This window comes from Homo sapiens, chromosome 5, assembly GCF_000001405.40.
Source record: "Homo sapiens chromosome 5, GRCh38.p14 Primary Assembly".
Lineage (NCBI taxonomy): Eukaryota > Metazoa > Chordata > Mammalia > Primates > Hominidae > Homo > Homo sapiens.
In genome coordinates this window covers 36490033-36511422 of record NC_000005.10, presented here as the reverse complement: position 1 = coordinate 36511422, position 21390 = coordinate 36490033, and the positions used below count along the sequence as shown (strand labels likewise).

Below are 21390 nucleotides of genomic sequence, written 5' to 3'. Positions count from 1 at the left end.
TTCTGGTTTGTGTAGAGGTGATTATAGTATTCTCTGATGGTAGTTTGTATTTCTGTGGGATCAGTGGTGATATCCCCTTTATCATTTTTTATTGCATCTATTTGATTCTTCTCTCTTTTCTTCTTTATTAGTCTTGCTAGTGGTCTATCAATTTTGTTGATCTTTTCAAAAAACCAGCTGCTGGATTCATTGATTTTTTGAAGGGTTTTTTTGTATCTTTGTCTCTTTCAGTTCTGCTCTGGTCTTAGTTATTTCTTGCCTTCTGCTAGCTTTTGAATTTGTTTGCTCTTGCTTCTATAGTTCTTTTAATTGTGATGTTAGGGTGTCGATTTTAGATCTTTCCTGCTTTCTCTTGTGGGCATTTAGTGCTATAAATTTCCCTCTACACACTGCTTTAAATGTGTCCCAGAGATTCTGGTATGTTGTGTCTTTTTCTCATTCGTTTCAAAGAACATCTTTAGTTCTGTCTTCATTTCATTATTTAACCCAGTATTCATTCAGAAGCAAGTTGTCCAGTTTCCATGTAGTTGTGAGGTTTTGAGTGAGTTTCTTAATCCTGAGTTCTAATTTGATTGCACCATGGTCTGAGAGATAGTTTGTTGTGATTTCTGTTCTTTTACATTTGCTGAGGAGTGCTTTACTTCCAATTATGTGCTCAATTTTAGAATAAGTGTGATGTGGTGCTGAGAAGAATGTACACTCTGTTGATTTGGGGTGGAGAGTTCTGTAGAGGTCTATTAGGTCTGCTAGTTGCAGAGCTGAGTTCAGGTCCTGGATATCCTTGTTAACCTTCTATCTCATTGATCTGTCTAATATTGAGAGTGGGATGTTAAAATCTCCCATTATTATTGTGTGGGAGCCTAAGTCTCTTTTGTAGGTCTCTAAAGACTTGCTTTATGAATCTGGGTGCTCCTGTATTAGGTGTATATATATTTAGGATAGTTAGCTCTTCTTGTTGTATTGAACCCTTTACCATTATGTAATGGCCTTCTTTGTCACTTTTGATCTTTGTTAGTTTAAAGTCTGTTTTATCAGACTAGGATTGCAACCCCTGTTTTTTTTTGCTTTCTATTTGCTTGGTAGATCTTCCTCCATCCCTTTATTTTGAGCCTATGTGTGTCTTTGCATGTGAGATGGGTCTCCTGAATACAGCACACTGATGGGTCTTGACTGTTTATCCAATTTGCCAGTCTGTGTCTTTTAATTGGAGCATTTAACCCATTTACATTTAAGGTTAAGATTGTTATGTGTGAATTTGATCCTGTCGTTATGATGTTTGCTAGTTATTTTGCCTGTTAATTGATGCAGTTTCTTCATAGCATTGATGGTCTTTACAATTTGGCATGTTTTTGCAGTGGTTGTTACTGGTTGTTTCTTTCCATGTTTAGTGCTTTCTTGGGGAGCTCTTGTAAGGCAGGCCTGGTGGTGACAAAATCTCTCAGCATTTGCTTGTCTATAAAGGATTTTATTTCTTCTTCAATTATGAAGCTTAGTTTGGCTGGATATGAAATTCTGGGTTGAAAATTCTTTTCTTTAAGAATGTTAAATATTAGCACCTACTCTCTTCTGGCTTGTAGGGTTTCTGCCTAGAGATCTGCTGTTTGTCTGATGGGCTTCCCTTTGTGGGTAACCTGACCTTTCTCTCTGGCTGCCCTTAACACTTTTTCCTTCATTTCAACCTTGGTGAATCTGACAAATATGTGTCTTGGGGTTGCACTTCTTGAGGAGTATCTTCGTGGTGTTCTCTGTATTTCCTGAATTTGAATGCTGGCCTGCCTTGCTAAGTTGGGGAAGTTCTCCTGGATAATATCCTGAAGAGTGTTTTCCAACTTGATTCCATTCTCCCCATCACTTTCAGGTACACCAATCAAATGTAGATTTGGTCTTCTCACATAGTCCCATATTTCTTGGAGGCTTTGTTCATTTGTTTTTACTCTTTTTTTTCTAAATTTCTCTTCTCCCTTTATTTCATTAATTTGATCTTCAATCACTGATACCCTTTCTTCCACTTGACTGAATTGGCTATTGAAGCTTGTGCATAAGTCATGAAGTTCTCGTGCCATGGTTTTCAGCTCCATCAGGTCATTTAAGGTCTTCTTTACACTGTTTATTCTCGTTAGCCATTCGTCTAATCTTTTTTCCAGGTTTTTAGCTTCCTTGCAATAAGTTCGAACATCCTCCTTTAGCTCAGAGAAGTTTGTTATTACTGACCTTCTGAAGCCTACTTCTGCCAACTCATCAAAGTCATTCTCTGTCCAGCTTTGTTCCGTTGCTGGCGAGGAGCTGCAATCCTTTGGAGGAGAAGAGGTGCTCTGATTTTTAGAATGTTCAGCTTTTCTGCTCTGGTTTCTCCCCAACTTTGTGGTTTTCTCTGCCTTTGGTCTTTGATGTTGGTGATCTACAGATGGGGTTTTGGTGTAGATGACCTTTTTGTTTATGTTGATGCTATTCCTTTCTGTTTTGTTAGTTTTCCTTCTAATAGTCAGGTCCCTCAGGTGCAGGTGTGTTGGAGTTTGCTGGAGGTTCACTCCAGACCCTGTTTGCCTGGGTATCACCAGCGGAAGCTGCAGAACGGCAAATATTGCTGCCTGATCCTTCCTCTGGAAGCTTCATCCCAGAGGGGCAGCCACCTATATGAAGTGTCTGTCAGCTGCTACTGGGAGGTATCTCCCAGTTAGGCCACATGGGGGTCAGGACCCACTTGAGGAGGCAGTCTGTCCGTTGTCAGAGCTCAAATGCCGTGCTGGGAGAACCACTGCTCTCTTCAGAGCTGTCAGACAGGGATGTTAAAGTTAGCAGAAGTTGTCTGCTGCCTTTTGTTCAGCTATGCTCTGCCCACAGAGGTGGAGTCTAGAGGCAGTGGGCCTTGTTGAACTGCAGTGGGCTCCACCCATTTCGAGTTTCCTGGCTGCTTTGTTTACCTACTCAAGTCTCTGCAATGGCGGATGCCCCTTCCCCAGCCAGGCTGCTGCCTTGCAGTTTGATCTCAGACTGCTGTGCTAGCAGTGAGCAAGGCTCTGTGGGTGTGGGACCCATGGAGCCAGGCACGGGAGAGAACCTCCTTGTCTGCCAGTTGCTAAGACCTTGGGAAAAGTGCAGTATTTTGGCAGGAGTGTCCTGTTTTTCCAGGTCCTGTTTTCTTGGCTTTTCCTAGCCAAGGGAAATCTGTCACGGCTTCCCTTGGCTTGGAAAGGGAAATCCCCCGACCCCTTGCACTTCCTGGGTGAGGCTATGCCCCACCCTGCTTCAGCTTGCCCTCTGTGGGCTGCACCCACTGTCCAACCAGTTCCAATGAGATGAACCAGGTACCTCAGTTGGAAATGCAGAAATCACCCGTCTTCTGCATTGATCATGCTGGGAACTGCAGACCGGAGCTGTTCCTTTTTGGCCATCTTGGAACATCCCCAATTATGCTCCGTTTTAACATTTTTAATTGTGTATACTTTTTTCTGTGCCAGGTGTTAATTTAGTTACCTTTTAAGAAAAACTTAGATTTTCTTGACATCTGTTGTTTATTTTCTAACTCATTGAATCCTTACTTACCTTTGTCATTTCTTTCATTCTGCTTTCCTTGGGTTACCCTGTTCATTTTTTTTTAACTCCTGGAGTTGAATATTCAATCATAAATTTTGAGCTTTTATTATTTCTTTGAATGTCATAACTCCTGGTCAAAACACAAATTTTGGTCTAACGCAGTCGGTGATGAGCTCCCACGGTCTGCCCAGCCCTTGTTCTTAATCAGGAGGTGAATTAAAGTCTTCATCTTCTACGTATGTGGAAGAGGACTAGGCAGAGGAGAAATGGCAGGCAGTGGAGGCAGAGAGTGGGTCCCCAGCCAGTTCCTGGACTCAGAAACCACCCATCAATATTCAAGCCAGAGTAGATGATCACCACCAGGTGGCGCCCAACCTCAACAGGGGCTGGGATGAGTTTTGAATTTGAACCAGAAACTAGACCTCCAAGAACTCTGTCCATGTGCTTTTATTTTTCCTCTTCATCTTCCTTTTTTCTTTTATTATTTTGTTTGTTTTCATTACAACACTCCTTCATCTCCTTCTATTGGCTTGAACGTATTCCTTCTATTTCAAATATTTTATTAGTTACAGTAAAAATTCTATCATGCATACTTTACTGGTCAATATTTCTTTGTTTCCCCTCCCCAATATACAAAGATTTAAAACTGCCCCTTCAATCTTCCATGTTATGTTTCCTTAGTATTTTAGTTTTGCTTGCTTTTGGCTCTTCTGGATTAGATGATCTTGCTGTTTTAAATCAATGCTTTTGATTAACCTGTCTGCTCATTATTTCTTCTTGCTTCACACCCTGTTTTGAGTTCAATTATATTTTTTCTGAAGTACATCAGATTAGTAGTTTTTTCAGCAATAGATGTCAATGGTAAACTTTTTTTAGCTTTAGTTTTTGAAAATATTTTTAGTTTAGTTGGGTATAAGAGAAACTCTTCTATTGTTGCTAATAATAATTCTCTGGTCAGCCTAATTGTCATTTCTTTTTAGGTGTCATATCTTTTTTCAGGTGCTTTTTTATTTTTAATTTTTGTAGATACATAGTAAGTGCATATATTTATGGGATACATGACATGTTTTGATACAGGCATGCAACGTGAAATAAGCACATCAGGAAGAATGGGGTATCCATCCCCTCAAGCTTTTATCCATTGAATTGCAAGCTATCCAATTACTAAGTTATTTTAAAATGTCCAATTACATTATTGCTGACTATAGTCACCCAGTTGTGCTATGAAATAGTAGGTCTTATTTATTCTTTCTAATTTATTTTGTACACATTAACCATCCCCACCTCCCCGACAGCCCCCAATACCCTTCTTAGCTTCTGGTAACCATCCTTCTATTCTCTATGTCCATGAGTTCAGTTGCTTTGATTTTTAGATCACACAAATAAGTGAGAACATGTGATGTTTGTCTTTCTGTGCCTGTCTTATTTCAGGTGCTTTTAAGAGTTTATTTCTTGTTTAAAAATTTGGCTCCAACGTATGTAGTTTTGTGAGCTTTTTGTTGGTTTTGTTTTGTTTTGTTTTATCCTACTTGGAATTCAGGGGCTTTCTTCAATTCTGAAAAATTCCCAGCCATTATTTCTTTGAGTTGTTTCTAACCCCCTTCCCTCCATTCTCTTCTAGAATTTATAGTTCAATCAGGTTGGAATTTGTCAGTCGACCCTCCATGGCTCTCAAACTCTCTTTAAGATTTTCTATGTTATTATCTTTCTGTGTTTCATACTGGATGATTTTCTCAAATCAATCTACCAGCTCACTAGTTCTTTTTAAGTGCATTTAATCTGCTATTTAATTTGAGTTTAAAATTTGAATGATTACATTTTTCTGTTAAAAAAGTTCAATTTGATTATCTTTAAGTCCTTTGCTTGCTTTTTAAGAATCCTATCATTTTGATGTGTTTATTATGTCTTCTTGAAACATACTTATTTTCAGCATCTTTGAGATTATTTCATTATTTCTAGCTTTCAGCCTCATTATTTTTCCATGTGTTGTATCAGCTGATGCTCCTTGCTGATACTTTTTAATCATATGGTTAGTAATTATTTACTATAAGCTTTTTCTCCTTCTAGTGAGAGTCCTGTATACTCTGGGTTACAGATAACTCCTTACGGAGCAGTTTGATATCACTTCTCTCTAGATTCCTGTGGCTCCACTGGTTATGGGCCAGTAATGATGTTAATATCTTGCTTGAGATTCTTATAACATGTAGATAGCTTAAATTCATACTCCATACCCAGGTTAGGTTTGGGGCTTTTCACAGGATGTATATATTTTTTCCCACCCACAGTCCAGAAAAGATAGCTTGCTTCCTGTCATCCCCAGGCAGTAAACAAAGTTCTAGTTACCCTCTCAAGTCCTGGAAGTATTTTTGAGAGTCCCAGTTTTAAACAGAGGTATAAGTTCCAGCCCGAGCAGCCTCCAGGCCAAATTTACTGTAGGGCCCGTATCCAGGCCTGATTCTTTCCTGGTCCTTCTTGTGTTAGTTGAAGCTTATGTCTCTGAGTTTAAATTTTCTTTTTGTGTCTGGCACCTGGGAATTATCTTGGGTTTCTTTCAAGCTAGGTATTTTAGCTTTTTAAAATATTTATCCAGTATTTACATGTGTTTGAGTGGGAGGAAGTCTTTGTTGAGTCAGGCTGCCATGCCTGCAGCTTTGGAGGCCTTTTGCATGCAGAAATTGGTCATGCATCTCTCTCTTAAATGAGTCTGGCCATGTTCCCTTTACCCCCACTGACCTCATACCTCAAGGAAATTTGACAAGCCAGAAGCATAAATTGCATACCTGAGCTGAGCTTCCCCTTCTATTTTATTTACATCATTTCTCAAAAATAATCACAGAAGGATGGAGCTGGGTGAGGCCTTATAATCCTCTAGTCTGATACCCTCTTTAATCAGCTGAGGGACCAGGGACTAGCTGGGCCCCTGGATTTTGGATTCTCCATCTGAAACACTTTCAAATTCATTATCTTGAGTAGAGTATAGGAAAAGGAACACTGGATTTTTAATCAGAAAACCAAGAATTGCATCCCAAGTTTGCCTTTTACCTGCTGTTTGATCTTGGGCAACCCTTTTGAGATCTAGTGAGTTATCTGTTAAATGGAGGCAGGCTGCATGGAATTTTTGATTCAGGAGATGTGACAGTTTCTGATATGCAATAGGCATTAATATTTTCTTTCTTATGATTAAGATCTCTCATACCCACTCTTGGAAACATCTTTGAAGCTGTTCATTCTCACAGAATCTGCCTGGAAAGAACTCACAAAGTACCTGGAGACTTACTAAATCAGAAGGTGTAAAGTTGGGAAACAGAAGGTTATTTTCCATTTCCCTTCTTTCCAACCAAATACTGAAACTTTGTTCCCAAAGAGTAAGGTATGTCTGCTTTAAAGAGTTACACAAAGGCCATAAAATTGCAAGTGGAGCCATTGCAAACTCACAATGTTTTTTATTCTAGCTTCATGTTCATTGACCTATGGCTTTCTTATGGGAGTCATGGGTGAATTCTAGACCAGACTGTTGGCAAACTTACTCTGTAAAGGGCCAGATAGCAAATATTTTAGGCTTTGAGGTCCACAAATAGTCCCTATCATAGTCTTTGTTTTGTTTACAGCCTTGCAAATATATAAGAGACATTCTCGTTCATGACTATACAAAAGGAAAGCTGTGGGCTGGATTTGGCTCACAGGTCTGGCTGTAGCTGTAGTTTTCTGAGCCCATTCTAGACAGACACAGCCTTCTGACTACGTCCATGAAGACTTTCCTGACTTCAGCAATGTCATTCAGTGCTTAGGGGCACTCAGCCTAATTATCCTACCATATTTGTTCAGGAATGACAGCCTCCCTGATCTGCTGCCCCTGCCCCCAGCTCCTGACCTTTCAGCCTAGTCCTAAAAGAAAAAAGGTCGCCCTCAGCACATGGTTACTTATGGGGTTTCCACCCACCCAGTGCTTTTACCTTTTAATCAGAAAGTGACTTCCTAGGGGGCTAAATCAATGCTTCACAACATTTACTATGTCCGGCATATTTGGAAAATGGTGGTAGTTTGTACAGCTCAGGGTTATGTGGGGAGGTGAGCAGAAGAGGGTTGAACAGATGCAAATGCTCATGACCAGAGGCTACTGGGTTTAGGGACTCCATCTTCCCCTGGAGGGTGGATGGGATCAATGTCTCAGCAAACCTCTTAGGAACAGAGCATAGTAGCTGTATGTGTAATAAACATTGGAGTCAGTGCCAACTTTGCTTTTTGTTAACAATATGACCTTTGTCAAGATTTTTAACCTCCTATGTCTTAAGTTCCTCCTCTATAAAGTGGGAATACTAATAAAAGTAGCCATCTTACAATGTTTATTTCACATATCAAAATGTACATGTAATATACATACATATATATAATATGCATGAGAGCATCCTAAGCAAGGTGCTTAGTTGTGAATACTAAGACATAGAATGTATTCTCTTCCTCTTTTTAGTTAAACAGTTATTTTGCATTAAGTGAATCTTCTTTATTGAAGAAAGTCCCAGGAATGAATAATTTCTAACATCAAATTGAGACAAATTTTTTTGTCAGAAAGATTTGTTAAAAAAAATTTCCTTACAGGTTTAAGCTTACATTTTGTGTGTCTATTTTTGTAGCTGAAACACACAATGCCAAGGAGCACCTGCCTTCTCTACCCAGAGGACACTGAGATGAGTTAGGAATCTGCAGTTCTTTCAGGCCAGAGTCCCTGCTCTCTAGACAATGTACTACAGGAATTTCTAGGTCCCAGCAGTTCCTCAAGAGTTAACATAGGGTAAGAAGCAGAAAGCATGAGATAATCTTCCAAAGTTTGGCATGTGGTATGAGTTTGGTACAAATTTGATAAAAGTTTTGAATTAAATAAAACATTGGGTTGAGCAGAGTGTCCTTAGTGGCAGTGATCACGTCATTGATAACCACAGTTTGCTGACGGAGCTGTGGTTAAACCTTCTGTGGATAATCAATATTTGGCTATGCCTGGGAGTGCATCCTCTCTCTATCCCCATGGCAGCTGACCCTTCCAGGAGTCCCGTGATACAATGCAGGGAATGGCAGTAAGAGAGCAATAATGTCAGGAAATGAGAGATCACTTTACCAGTGGAAACCACAGGAATCCTGGGCAGGCAGAAAGTAATCATGAAAACTGCTTTTTGGCAACGTGACATGGGTCAGCTCTCTTGGCCTCATGAAGAGCGTCTGCGATTTATTGTGGCTTTAATCACATTAAGCCTTTGTGGTTATGGGATAGCTGCATCACAAGGAGTTTGAAGTACAATTTTGCTTTACTGTAGTAATCAGTTTATACCTAGCATTTTATGAGGGTGAAGGAAAGTGGACAATAAGGTTTCTTCATGTAAGATCCTAAAATTGGCTGGTAGGTCAGAGTTTGCACACATATAACACTTAAAGACAAAAGTGAAACATCTCAGAAGCCAGGAAGCCCAGGCTACAGGTCCTCCAAATCGCTTTAATAAAACAACAACCAAAAGGATCTGTGATAGAGATGGCTTAGGAAACTCCAAATATGATATTCTCATTTGGAAAGTCACAAAGACATGGCCATGAAAAAGAGTCTGAAAAAGCCTGCAGTAAAGAATATGGTGTAGCTTTGTTTAGCCTTGAGTTCCACAAACATAATTGACCTTGGCACCCTGACTCTACCCACTGCCTAGTGATCTGGAGTTCCCTGAGTTTTCGGTTGAAAGCATCAGCAACCAGCTCTAGCTAAAAAGAGCAAAAGCAAATTTTCTGGAAGAATATTGGGAGCTTATAGAACTGTTAGGAATACTGGAGAACCAAGCTGCCTCCCATGAGGTTGACCTCATAGCTGACTTGACTTCACCTCATTACTTACAACTAGATCATTGTGAGGGCCAGAGGGGGCCTCAGATATCAGCCAGGGGGACCTTGTGAGTTCACGATGAGGAAGCTGAAACGGACAGAGAAGCAATGGCTTAACCCAATCAGCTGGCCGGTCATGGGAACAGGTGATCGCTATTATTTCCTCTACGCTACCTCCTCTCTTTTATTCTGATCTTTTCTTTGAGGGGGCAGGGGGTGATCCTTAAAAGCACAGCATTCCTATTATTCATGAAGAGATGGAACCCACATCCTGAGTGACTGCTTGGCAATCATGAGCTTTTCTTTTTTTTTAAACTTTTATTTTAGGCTCAGGGGTACCTAAACCTAAAGGTACCCCTTTAGGTTTGTTACATAGGTGAAGGTTTGTTACATAGGTGAACTTGTGTCATGAGGGTTTGTTGTACAGATTATTTCATCACTGAGGTATTAAGCCCAGTACCCAATAGCTATCTTTTCTGCTCCTCTCCCTCCTCCCACCCTCCACCCTCAAGTAGACCTCAGTGCCTGTTGTTTCCTTCTTTGTGTTTATGAGTTCTCATCGTTTAGCTCCCACTTATAAGTGAGAATGATCATGAGCTTTTTGCAGACGTAGTTATTTCTACCTCAACTGAACTCGATAGGCAATCTTATATTTACAAAGTGACAAAATATATGAGCTAATGTCTTTTCTACTTATTTCTAAAAATGAAATGATTTTGAGGTGGCTTGACACATCCCTATTAAAGCAAATACTTTTGTCATAGTACTTGTAACACTTTACCACTTTATTTATTTATTTATTTTTAGACAGAGCCTCGCTCTGTCACCCAGGCTGGAATGCCAGTGGTGTGATCTCAGTTCACTGCAACTTCCACCGCCCAGGTTCAAGCAATTCTTGTGTCTCAGCCTCCCGAGTAGCTGGGATTACAGGTGCGTGTAAATTAGCATGCCTGGCTAATTTTTTTTTGTATTTTTAGTAGAGACAGGGGTTCTCCATGTTGGCCAGGCTGGTCTTGAACTACTGGCCTCAAGTGATCCACCCACCTCAGCCTCCCAAAGTGCTGAGATTACAGGCATGAACCACCGCACCCGGACCACTTTACCACTTTATTGCCCTTATTTGGTTCATCTTTGCCTTCTCCATCAGTCTGTAAATCTAATGACAGGAGGAGTCATGTCTATATCTTAACCACTGGACATAGTTGGTACTTAGTAAATGTGGAACAAAAAAAAAGAAAGACACTTGAATAATAGCTAGTTAGTAAAAGAAGTAATCCAAAGAGAATATTGGTGCTATATATAAAATGAATCCTATTTTTCAGTGGATGTGGACAACTGGCAGTCTTGAGTTTAAAAATCCCAGGTCTGGCTGGGTGCAGTGGCTCACGCCTGTAATCCCAGCACTTTGGGAGGGCGAGGCAGGTGGATCACCTGAGGTCGGGAGTTTGAGACCAACCTGACCAACATGGAGAAACCCCGTCTCTACTAAAAATACCAAATTAGCTGGGCATGGTATGCATGCCTGTAATCCCAGCTACTCAGGAGGCTGAGGCAGGAGAATTGCTTGAACCTGGGAGGCGGAGGTTGCGGTGAGCCGAGATTGCGCCATTGCACTCCAGCCCAGGCAACAAGAGCGAAACTCCGTCTCAAAAAAAAAAAAAAAAAAAATCCCAGGTCTGCTGGGCATGGTGGCTCACACCTGGAATCCCAGCACTTTGGGAGGCCAAAGTGGACAGATTACTTGAGCTCAGGAGTTTGAGATTAGCATGGGTAACATAGGGAAACCCTGCCTCTACAAAAAACAAAAACATTAGCTGCGCATGGTGGTGTGCGCCTGTAGTCCCAGTTACTTGAGAGGCTGAGGTGAAAGGGTCACTTGAGCCCGGGAAGTTGAGGCTGCAGTGAGCCAAGATCATGCCACTGAACTCCAGCCTGGGCCACAGAGTGAGACTCTGTCTCAAAAAAGGATAAAAAGTCAGCTCCATCATTCAATTTAATACCAGTATGATCATGGACAAGTTGGTTGTCATCATCAAGATTCTATTTCCTTACATGTGAAATGGGGTGATATGGTTTGGCTGTGTCCCCACCCAAATCTCATCTTGAATTGTAGCTCCCATAGTCCTCATGTGTCATGGTTTTATAGAGGGGAGTTCCCCCGCATACACTCTTGCCTGCCACCTTGTAAGATATGCCTTTGCTCCTCCTTTGCCTTCTGCCATGATTGTAAGGCCTCCCCAGGCATGTGGAACGGTGAATCCATTAAAGCTCTTTTTTTTGTAAATTACCCAGCTTCAGATGTGTCTTTATTATCAGCATGAGAACAGATTAATACATGGGGATAATGCATTTTTCTAGCACTGTGAGATAGAAATGTTTCCTGTCTAGGCCGGATAGAGAAGGATCACAGTCCTGGGGGCCTTGGCAATTTTCAGGGGGCTTCCACATGTGCAGTATCCCACCTGCCTACCGCCCCCTCAACACACCGATGCAGTGGGGGATGGGAGCAGAATGAGTCTTAGACAGAAAATAGAACCTACCTTTTAAAGCACCCTCATTTTCCCCTTTATCCATTTTAGGAGAAATCTGCATGGATCACATGTTTTTCTTCCTCCTTTCTTTTCCTCTTTCTCTTCCTTCTTCTCACACTTGCATTTCTTCTTTTTTCCCTTTTGTGAGCACCGACAAGCCTTAAGTTCCAGAGCCTCCTTTTTGGCACCAAGAAGTATTTATTTATTCTTTCTCCCTCCTGTGTGAGAAAGGAAAGACCAGAGGGCTGGAGTTTGTCTGTCTTCCTCATCTGTAGGGGAGTCCTCTCTCAGTATGTGGGTTTACTATTGGGGTATATTTCCTGCCTTCTGGAACATTTTAGGCAGAATCTAAACTTTTTTTAATGATTCAGAATTATCACTATAGGATGTAGCGTTGGAAAGACATAGGACTCTGAGATTTTGACTAAAAAATCAATTCATAACAGGAGGAGAAAGAAAACTTCCCTGGTTAAGTAAGCAATTAAAGACTTTTAGGTCCTTTCACCTCCTGGGAAGAATGTTGCATTGGAGCTAAGGTGGTCAGCAGGTAATGCGGTCCCTACACTCGAAGAGACAGAGTCTGTCAGAATCTGGTTAGCATCATCCAGTAATTTCCCCAGTTTGTGAAGAAATGACTGTGTTCTGGGTTTTGTACTTAACCTTGATCTCCCACCAATGCAGAAAGTTAAGTGCAAAGGGAAATTGTTAAAAGCTGTGGATTCACAAGTCCAGCTCTCTCACTCCAAATCCCAGCTTTGCCTCTCAGTAGCTGAAAAAATCTCAGGAAAGATGCTTAACTCCATCTTTAACTCCATCCAAGACTGGAACAATAATACCTACTGCATAGGGTAATAATAATACCTACTGCATAGGGTAGTTTTGAGTTAAATGAGATGGTGCACAGAAGCATCTAATAAATACTAACTCTCATGATGTGCATTTATGGGTGAAGAAAAATTAGGCAGGAGTGGAGCCAAGGTTTGACTCCAAATTCTACTTTTTTCATTTCTTCATGAAGCCATTGCCACAGGACAGAGAGAAAGTGGAGTTTGAGGCATAATCATTGGGATATTTCAAGTCACATTCCTACTTAGAAGTAATAAAATTTCACTAGTTTATTAGTTAGGATGTAGGTTCTGTTGTTAAAAACAAAAATATTAGTGGCTTAAACAAGATAAGGTTATATTCTTATCAAGGAATAGATCAAGCATAAGCAGTATAAGGTGACATGGTGCTCCACTGTGGCAGCAACCCAGGCTCTTTCTTGTTGGTCTGTCACCCTCAATGTGTGGCTGGTTGTCCCCGCTCCATCACCATGTGCACATCCCAGCCAGCAGGTGAGGAGACTGGAAAGGCTGAGGGTTCCCTTAAAGAAAAGCATGACTTGAAAGCTGTCCACATGACCTGCAATCGCATTCCACTGGCCGTACCCAGCTGCAAGGGAGGATGGGAAACACATCTGGCCCTATGTATCTGTGGGTTCTGCATCCGTGGATCCACCCAACTGAAGATCAAAAGTGTTCAGCAAAAATTGCATCCATGCTGAACATGTACAGTCACTTTCCTTGTTGTTATTCCCTAAACAATACAGTGTAATGATTTACATAGCATTTACATAGTATTAGATATTATCAGTAGTCTAGAGACGATTTAAGGTGTATGGGAGGAGATGTGTAGGTTATATGCAAATACTATGTCATTTTATATAAAGGACTTCAGTATCCATGGACTTTAGTATCTGAGAGAGATCCAGGAACTAATTCTTCACCAATACCAAGGGACAAATATATAGACTTTATTCTGAACAGTTATGTGCTCAACTATTATTAAAATAAAAAAGGAATAGTGACTATTGGGAGCTTAGGTGAAATAGTTCCTCTCCATCAGCTGATCACCTTTGTCCTGTTGCCAAGCTAAATCGATAATTCATTGTAAGCCCATTCTAGATACGCTATAATCCAGATTACTTACCACTGCAGTTAATGGGTCTATGTATCTCACCGTTAAGTATTCCAGAATGCAAAGGTTCTTTGATTTCCCTGTTACCCTTTCTTTATTGCCTTTTATTTCCTTTATCACTGCCAGGCTGCCCATTGGCATCTTGCTTTGCTGGCATCTAGCCCTCAGAGCCCTCTCTCCTTCCATCCCTGCCTGGCCCTTCCCCTTTTCCACCCACATATACATTTGACACTTGCTTTTTTTTGTAGATAGAATTATGTGCAATGCAAAAGCAAACTGGTTTGAGTGAAGGCTAACTTATCACAAATCTTGTGATTAATCCATGTTGGCTATTTGATCCAGCTCCTTGCTCGTTTCCTGATTCTCAATAATGTAAGAATAGTTGAGGTTGCTAGGTAAGAAGGTCTTTGTATTAGAAGAAAAGAGGAGGTGTAAGAGCAGTGATGGGGAGAACAAAGCCATTAGAAAGTGCAGTCTTACAGGGAATTTTTTGAGGGAAAAACACCACCACCACTCAGGACTTAAGAATAAAAAGATGAAGCAGATAAGGATTATAGCAGAAATGAGTATGGAAGAGACCAACAAAAATCCAGAGATTAAAAGTAGCTTTAAGTCTTTAAGGATAATTGTGGCTTCCTAGTGTGGATGTCTGGAGCACCAGGTTTGTTCTAATTGAAAGCACAATTTGGTGGTGGGGAAGAGTCTCCAGTTTGTTAAGGTTGTGGTTAGATTAAAGTTGGGGAACACAGGATCTGGAGTTAGTATGCAGTTCATCCTCTCACAAACTGAAAAGAAGGCCATTAAGATGCTGGTCACCCAGGATGCTCTGGCTAGGAATAAACAGGGAGCTGAATGTTGGTCTTCACGCAGACCATTCTAATAACTAATCCTCTTTGTAACGGTCAATTTACATGTTAGAAGATCTAAAAGGCAGGAAGCGTTGAAATGGGCTTTGAATTTTCTTCCTTAGATTTCGTTTCCAATTAATCTTTCTGAGACAAGAATTGCAATCCACCACAAACTGTTTTGAAGCTTTTAAGAGCAGGTTTTGCTCCTTTGGACAAGATGCTAACATATTAAAAGGAAAGAAAACAACTTAGTGTTTGGTTGGATATTTTTTCTCCTCGAATATGAAAACAACCTCAGTACCAATAAAAGGGCAGTAGAGAAATTTTATTTCACATAGACTTTTGGCAGTGTCTTAGAATCATAGGACTGGTGAGGACTGCCCAGATTTTTTAGAGATGAGGAAACTGAGGCCCAGAGAGGCTGAGCCAAGCTTGGAAAGATGCTCTGCAAATTAGCGGGAGAGCTGGAACTAAAACCTTGTCTCCTGTTCCCTCGTCATGCCCTGCTGCCACTCCGTTGCAGAAATGATCTGTAACGAAGAACATAAATGGCATCCTAAGCCTGATTTGTTTCTTTGAAATTTCTAAAGAAAGCCTACATTTTACGTGAGTGGAAAGGTTTTGTGTTCAAAGAGAAACACATGCTACTAAGAAGAGAAGATGAAGATGCCCTTGCTCCTAAATGGGGGTGTTTGGACATGATCTCAAAAGCAAACAAGAAGCCCTGTTTCCTGCCCCAGTCTTTCCTATCTTTCTTGCCTCTGGACTGAAAACTCTCCCATTATTTTTTCCTGAGGCAAAAATATGTAACAGATGGTAGTTTCTCCATTGCGCTGTGGTTAAAATGCAAACATCACATCAGAAGAAACCCCCCTGCTGTTACTAGCTCTCAGTATTAGCCCACAGTGACTTGAACTTTTTTGGGGGGTCAAGGGTTTAGAATGTGTTTAGTTTAGAATCTGATGAAATCTATGACTCTTTCCCCTAGAAAATGGGCACACAAAATTGTAATGCCTTAGGATCTTCACCTCCCTCTAAGCCCACGTTTGGACCAGGTGAAGGACTCATGCTTTTAAGTAAATTAGCTTGTCCCATTAACTGGCTGGTCTTAACTAGCAGAGCCTAATGGGAATGAAACCAAGTTTCCATGGGAGAAAAAGAGCCAAATAGAAGCTTCCCTGAGGAGTAAGAAGCCAAGATAGAGAGTTCTGGACAAGCTAGAGAGACAGGGACAAAGGAGACACATCAGAGAAAAAGATTCCCAGGGGAGTTTGGAGGGAAGCCTGAGACAAACTTCTCAACTTCAGCACCTTGTCTATGGTTGGCCGTAATTACGATTTCCAGGCTTTCCTAACTTGCTTTGCCGACCTCTGTAATTATTCCAAAGTCACACACCTCCTTGGAATCCTTCCCTAGTACACACTGCTCTCAAAGGCAGCCCTGGGCTGGTGAATAAGATGTCTCCATGAGAGCTGAGTCCTTTTTCCCTGGCATCTTGCCACGTTGTGCTGCTCCTGGACCTGTCGGACCCTTAAAGGGGGTGGGATGCATCTTAGAATATGCTGTGGGGTGATGATAGATCACCACAGCCTAGACATGATCTTGGCAAGCATGCTGGGTAGTGATGTATTGATAAACATCAAAAGAAGTGTGGAATTCCAAACAAGAAAGTGAACTGGAGTAACTCCAGTGAGTCAGATTTTTATTTTATTTTATTTTAAACAGAAGGTGATTTGTAATGCTCAGCCGGACATGGTTGAGAAGTGGGTATGGGACTCCTATGAGCAGTGGGAAGAGCTGCCACAGAGCAGGACATGAGCTGCCAGGACTCAAATGTACCCTGGACTCCCTAGCAGTTCCAAAGAAGTGACTCTGAGATGGAAAGTGAATGCTGAGCAGCCATTTTATGAGATGTTGAAAGTTGTTGCAAGTCATGTGCTGCTATTCAGGACTCCACTGATTCCATGTTTTTAAACAGCCAGGTTCTCATCCTATAGCAAGAAAGAGAGAATGGTGGAATCTGAGTTAAAAGCAACTGGGATATAGGGCTGGACACTGGAAAGCCAGGTGCGTAGCTGTATCTAATCAGAACTGGCCAAAAGAATTTGTGCAAAATGTTCTGTAATCTGTACCACTGGGTAGACAGTAGCCCAATGTAGCTATTGAGCACTTGAAATATAGTGCAACAAAGGAAATGAATTTTAAATTTCATTTATTTAATTTAGTTTAAGTAGCTACACATAGCTAGTGGCTACCACATTGGACAGTGCAGATCTGAACCTATGGCTCAAACAAGTCAGCACTGGCTCATGGTATTGACTCTCTGCTGGAGTTAATGCCCTCCTTTGTTCATTTCTCCATTTCTTCATTCAGCAGGCATGCCTGGACCTACAGAGGGTCTAGTAGCCTGATCAGCTCTGCAGCCTAGGCCCCTAGGCATTCTCCAGTGAGGTCACACATCTCATATCCAACTCACCTGATACACTCCCCCACAGACTAACAGGAAGAGTGGCAGTTCCTCTTTCCTCACCTTGACCACGATGCTCATCTTCCATTTCACCATTCTACCTTTGTCTTACCATTCTGGGGACATGTTGGCTTTGTTCTCTTCCCCATGCATGTGAAGCTGCCAGTCTTTGTCAGTTGGCATCAAGTGATTGGCTTTCCTTTCTGCTTCTGTCTGTAAAATGGGCATTTTTGGTATTCCCTAAGAGGACAAGTGGCTAGCTTGAAAACTGTAACTCATTATGAGGTTTATGGTGAGAAGGACAAAATTTAGAGTTGGAAATGATGTCAGAGTTGATGAAGCTCCATTTCCCTGTTGGTCTGAAAACTACAGAACCAATGCCTTGAGTCAAAAGACAGTGTTCATTCATCCACTTATTTGACAATATTTGTGTACCAGGCACTGGGCACTGGTACAACTATGAGTACATTAGCACACAAAAACAAAAACAAAAAACAGAAAACACTTTCCTCCCAGCCCCACCAAAAAAACAAAAACAAAAACCCAAGAAGAGTCTTTGCCCTCATGTAGAGGTAAGTGCTACAAAAATAAAGAGGAAGGGTATAGCTGCTGAGTGGTGCTGTTCCAGATAGAATGGCCAGGAAAATCCTCTCTGTGGGGTGGTATTGGAGTTGAGACATGGATGAAGTTAGGCCCTGAGTCATATAACTATTTGGGGGAAAATCAATAGGCAGAGGAAATAGCCCAGGCCTGAAGCTGGGTATGTTTGGCTTGCTTGAGGGACAGTAAGCAGGCAGCAGAGTGAGTCAGGGGGAGAATGGGAAGAAATGAGTCAGAGAGGGAGCCAGGGGCCAGAGCGTGTTGGGTCTTTTAGGTTATGGTATGGACTTGGATTTATTCTAAGTGCAATAAGATGCCCTTGTGAAGCCTTCCCTAATGTCACCTATGACCCATCCATCAGACAAAGAGATGCAACCTTGTATGCCTACAGGCAGGTAATGAGAGGGCTGTCCTGTTGGAAGAGGTTGGCCACTTCTCTGCTCCAGACCATCATGGCTGTGCAGGAACCCAAGACCTGGGCCACCAGAGGTCACTCTCCATAAATGAAAATGTAGAAATTTTAAAATGTGAAAGCTTCCAGTTTTTAAATACTGGCAAAAATTCGAGTTAAGCCCATACACACAGAGTACAGGTCAAAGAAAAGATATCTGCAGATAGTATCCACCAGTCTGCACCTTCTGCATTGTACAGTCATTTCCAGGGAGTTTGGATTTTTAACTAAAGCACCTGAGAGAAAGAAAATTCCAAATGACACCCAAACAAAATCATTAGAGGATTTGGCATAACTATCACTGTCATTGCCATTGTATAAGCCCAACCATGTAAGACAAAATCTACTACAGTGACACCTTCCCATTAGGATGTAGATGATTGGGACAGACCATTGCTCCCACAGTGACATGGAGATAAAAATGAATAAGCTTTAAAAAAAATCATATAGGCTGGGTGCAGTGGCTCACGCCTGTAATCCCAGCACTTTGTGCTAAGGCAAGTGGATCATGAGGTCAGGAGTTCGAGACCAGCCTGGTCAACATGGTGAAATGCTGTCCCTATTAAAAATACAAAAATTAGCTGGGCGTGGTGGCACACACCTGTAATCCCAGCTGCTTGGGAGGCTGAGGCAGGAGAATCACTTGAACCTGGAAGGTGGAGGTTGCAGTGAGCCGAGATTGTGCCACTGCACTCCAGCCTGGGCAAAAGAGTGAGACTCCATCTCAAAAAAACAAAAACAACAGCAACAGCAACAACAACAACAAAAAACATATTTAAAAAAAGGCACTGGAGAGCTGGAGACACAAACATGTCCAAAGGAACCCAATTCTATAGAGAGATGAATTTCCATGGAATGAAGAAATGGAGGGCTTCTAGGGACATTTGGAAAGTCTGGGTGTGTGGCAGGAGGAAAAGAGGGCTGTCACACAAAGAGGGGCCCTGCTGGGTGAGGAAAAGCTAGTCAATCTTTTAGCAGTTACATGGGCTAGTGTGACAGACTGGGATTAGCAGGAGCCACCACTGCCGGGCTAGTTTTCCTGTTTGCTAATTCCGCTCCCTGAGATCTTGCTGAACGTGTGCCAGGGCAAGAGGCTGATGGCTGGGCCTGCAAGGGCAGAGAGAGCACCACATGCTCATGGTGCTGAGTTCCAAAGTTTGCAGACAGCTCTGTAATACTCGAAAAGCATATTTCACTCTGGAGACATTTGCGCAAGTTGCAGTCATTATTAAAGAGCTGCGTTCTTTCTCAGGAACATAAAATGGGGTGTGTCTTACAATGGGTGACATTTTAGAGTCAACGAGACCTGGTAGCAGTCATGGCTTTTTTTTTTTTTTCATGCAAGAAAGAAATCAGGAGTTGAGAGCAAGTTATTTGAAAAATCCAACTAAACTTTTTTCTTATCCTTGAAAAAAACTTTAAAAGAGTGGTTTAAGAATTTTTTGGAGGCACAAACACAACAGAATATAGTCACTAAAATTCTCATTACAGCCTATGTAGAAACGTGAAATATTTGTTAAATGAAAAAAAAGCACAAAATAGAAATATTTCTTGAGTAATTTATGTTTAAAAAAAGTTACACATGGAAGACAAACTGGAAAAATCTACCAAACATAATTAGAAGGGCAATTATGATCTCAGTATTTTATTATATCTGTAAGTACGTTATACCTGAATAAATGTTTCTTTAAAAAATTTAAAAATTACAGCTATGCATGGAAGGAGTGAAGAGGATGCTGCTGGCAGAGAACTCATCGGCAGCAGCCCCCAGAGGATAATGTACAAGGCACGTTCTGTACAGGGAGTCTGCCAGCCTGGCCAAGAGCACCCCCAAAAGCACTTGGAATGAGCCCAGCTACACCAAGGGTAGGAGATCTGCCAATATCATGGAGGGAGAAATACACATCTAGTCTATGACCCAGCATCCCAAAGGCCTGCAGGCTAACCCGCCTCCCTGGAAGAAAACAGAAAGTAGAGGGCCTGTCACTTTTGGAGATACCCACGATGGAGACAATGCTTCAGCAGTGAGCCCAGGTGTCGCCATGCAATAGCATGAGAGCTCTGCCTTTGTCCATCGACATGGAAGTGAAATAAAAGAAAACCACCGAGTTAGAGAAAGCAACCATTAAACCACCATCATCAATAGCAAGTACTTAGTGAGCATCTACTTTGTGTCAAGTGCTTCCTGGGCACTGGATCATCCCATAACTAGTAGGTGTCCTGTGGCCCTCTTCTTCCAGAATCAGAATAACCCATCTGTTGTAATTCCTAGTTCTATTTCTTCTTCTTCTTCTCTTTCTCCTTCTTTTTTTTTTTTTTTGAAATGGAGTCTTGCTCTTGTCACCCAGGCTGGAGTGCAATGGAGTGATCTCGGCTCACTGCAACCGCTGCCTCCTGAATTCAAGCAATTCTCCAGCCTCAGCCCTGCGGAGTGGCTAGGATTACAGGCATGCGCCACCATGCCCAGTTAATTTTGTATTTTTGTAGAGAAGGGGTTTCACCATGTTGGCCAGGCTGGTCTCGATCTCCTGATCTCAGGGGATCTGCCCGCCTCGGCCTCCCAAAGTGCTGGGATTACAGGCATGAGCCACCGCACCTGGCCTCCTAGTTCTATTTCTGTCACACTATTACAGTGCTTACCACATTGGAGTCATTCAAAAGATATTTTTGAACAACTGACTAAGTAAGTACATTAGTCATTTATTAATCGGGCTTAGTTAGGTAGAACTCTCAACATCGAAAGAGAACGCACCATTCCCTCACTCCCGGGATGCTGCCCCTCCTTCTACAGACATCCAGGCTCTGTCTGGGTTTGGCTCTTAGGAGATGGAAGCTTCTGGCTGGGCCAGAGCCCTCATACCATCGTTATCAGGAACACCTTCTGTGTTGAAGGGGAACCTTCCCTCATCCACTCTGTATCCTTCCCCAGATATTTAGCACAGAAATTTTTGTTTTGATATTGGCATTATATTGTTTCAAACACAAGGAATCGAAGAAGCAAGCAAGTCTCCTAAACTTTTCTTTGGCCGTGATTAGGGCTGTTCAGAGATATGCCTGTTTTTTTCTTTTGAGATTTTAGGTTTGCTTATTATTATAGCATAATCTAACCCATACATTGATACTTTTTGCCCTCACTATCAATTG

The 21390-nt window shown here is 41.7% G+C and overlaps 1 long non-coding RNA gene across 1 annotated transcript, besides 1 other annotated feature; it reads left to right on the top strand.

The window, feature by feature from the left end:
• Nucleotides 1-9357: 9357 nt before the first annotated feature.
• On the top strand, nt 9358-20395 carry LOC124900963 (uncharacterized). Its single transcript, XR_007058735.1, has 2 exons — nt 9358-9536; nt 19956-20395. It is a non-coding gene; the product is annotated as an uncharacterized LOC124900963 (long non-coding RNA).
• Nucleotides 17842-18136: a silencer, noted in NCBI's record as "tiled region #9147; K562 Repressive non-DNase unmatched - State 13:Ctcf". NCBI's record gives its function as "represses a minimal TATA promoter and a strong SV40 promoter by Sharpr-MPRA in K562 cells {active_cell/tissue: K562}" and the evidence as "EXISTENCE:reporter gene assay evidence [ECO:0000049][PMID:27701403]".
• Nucleotides 20396-21390: the final 995 nt, after the last annotated feature.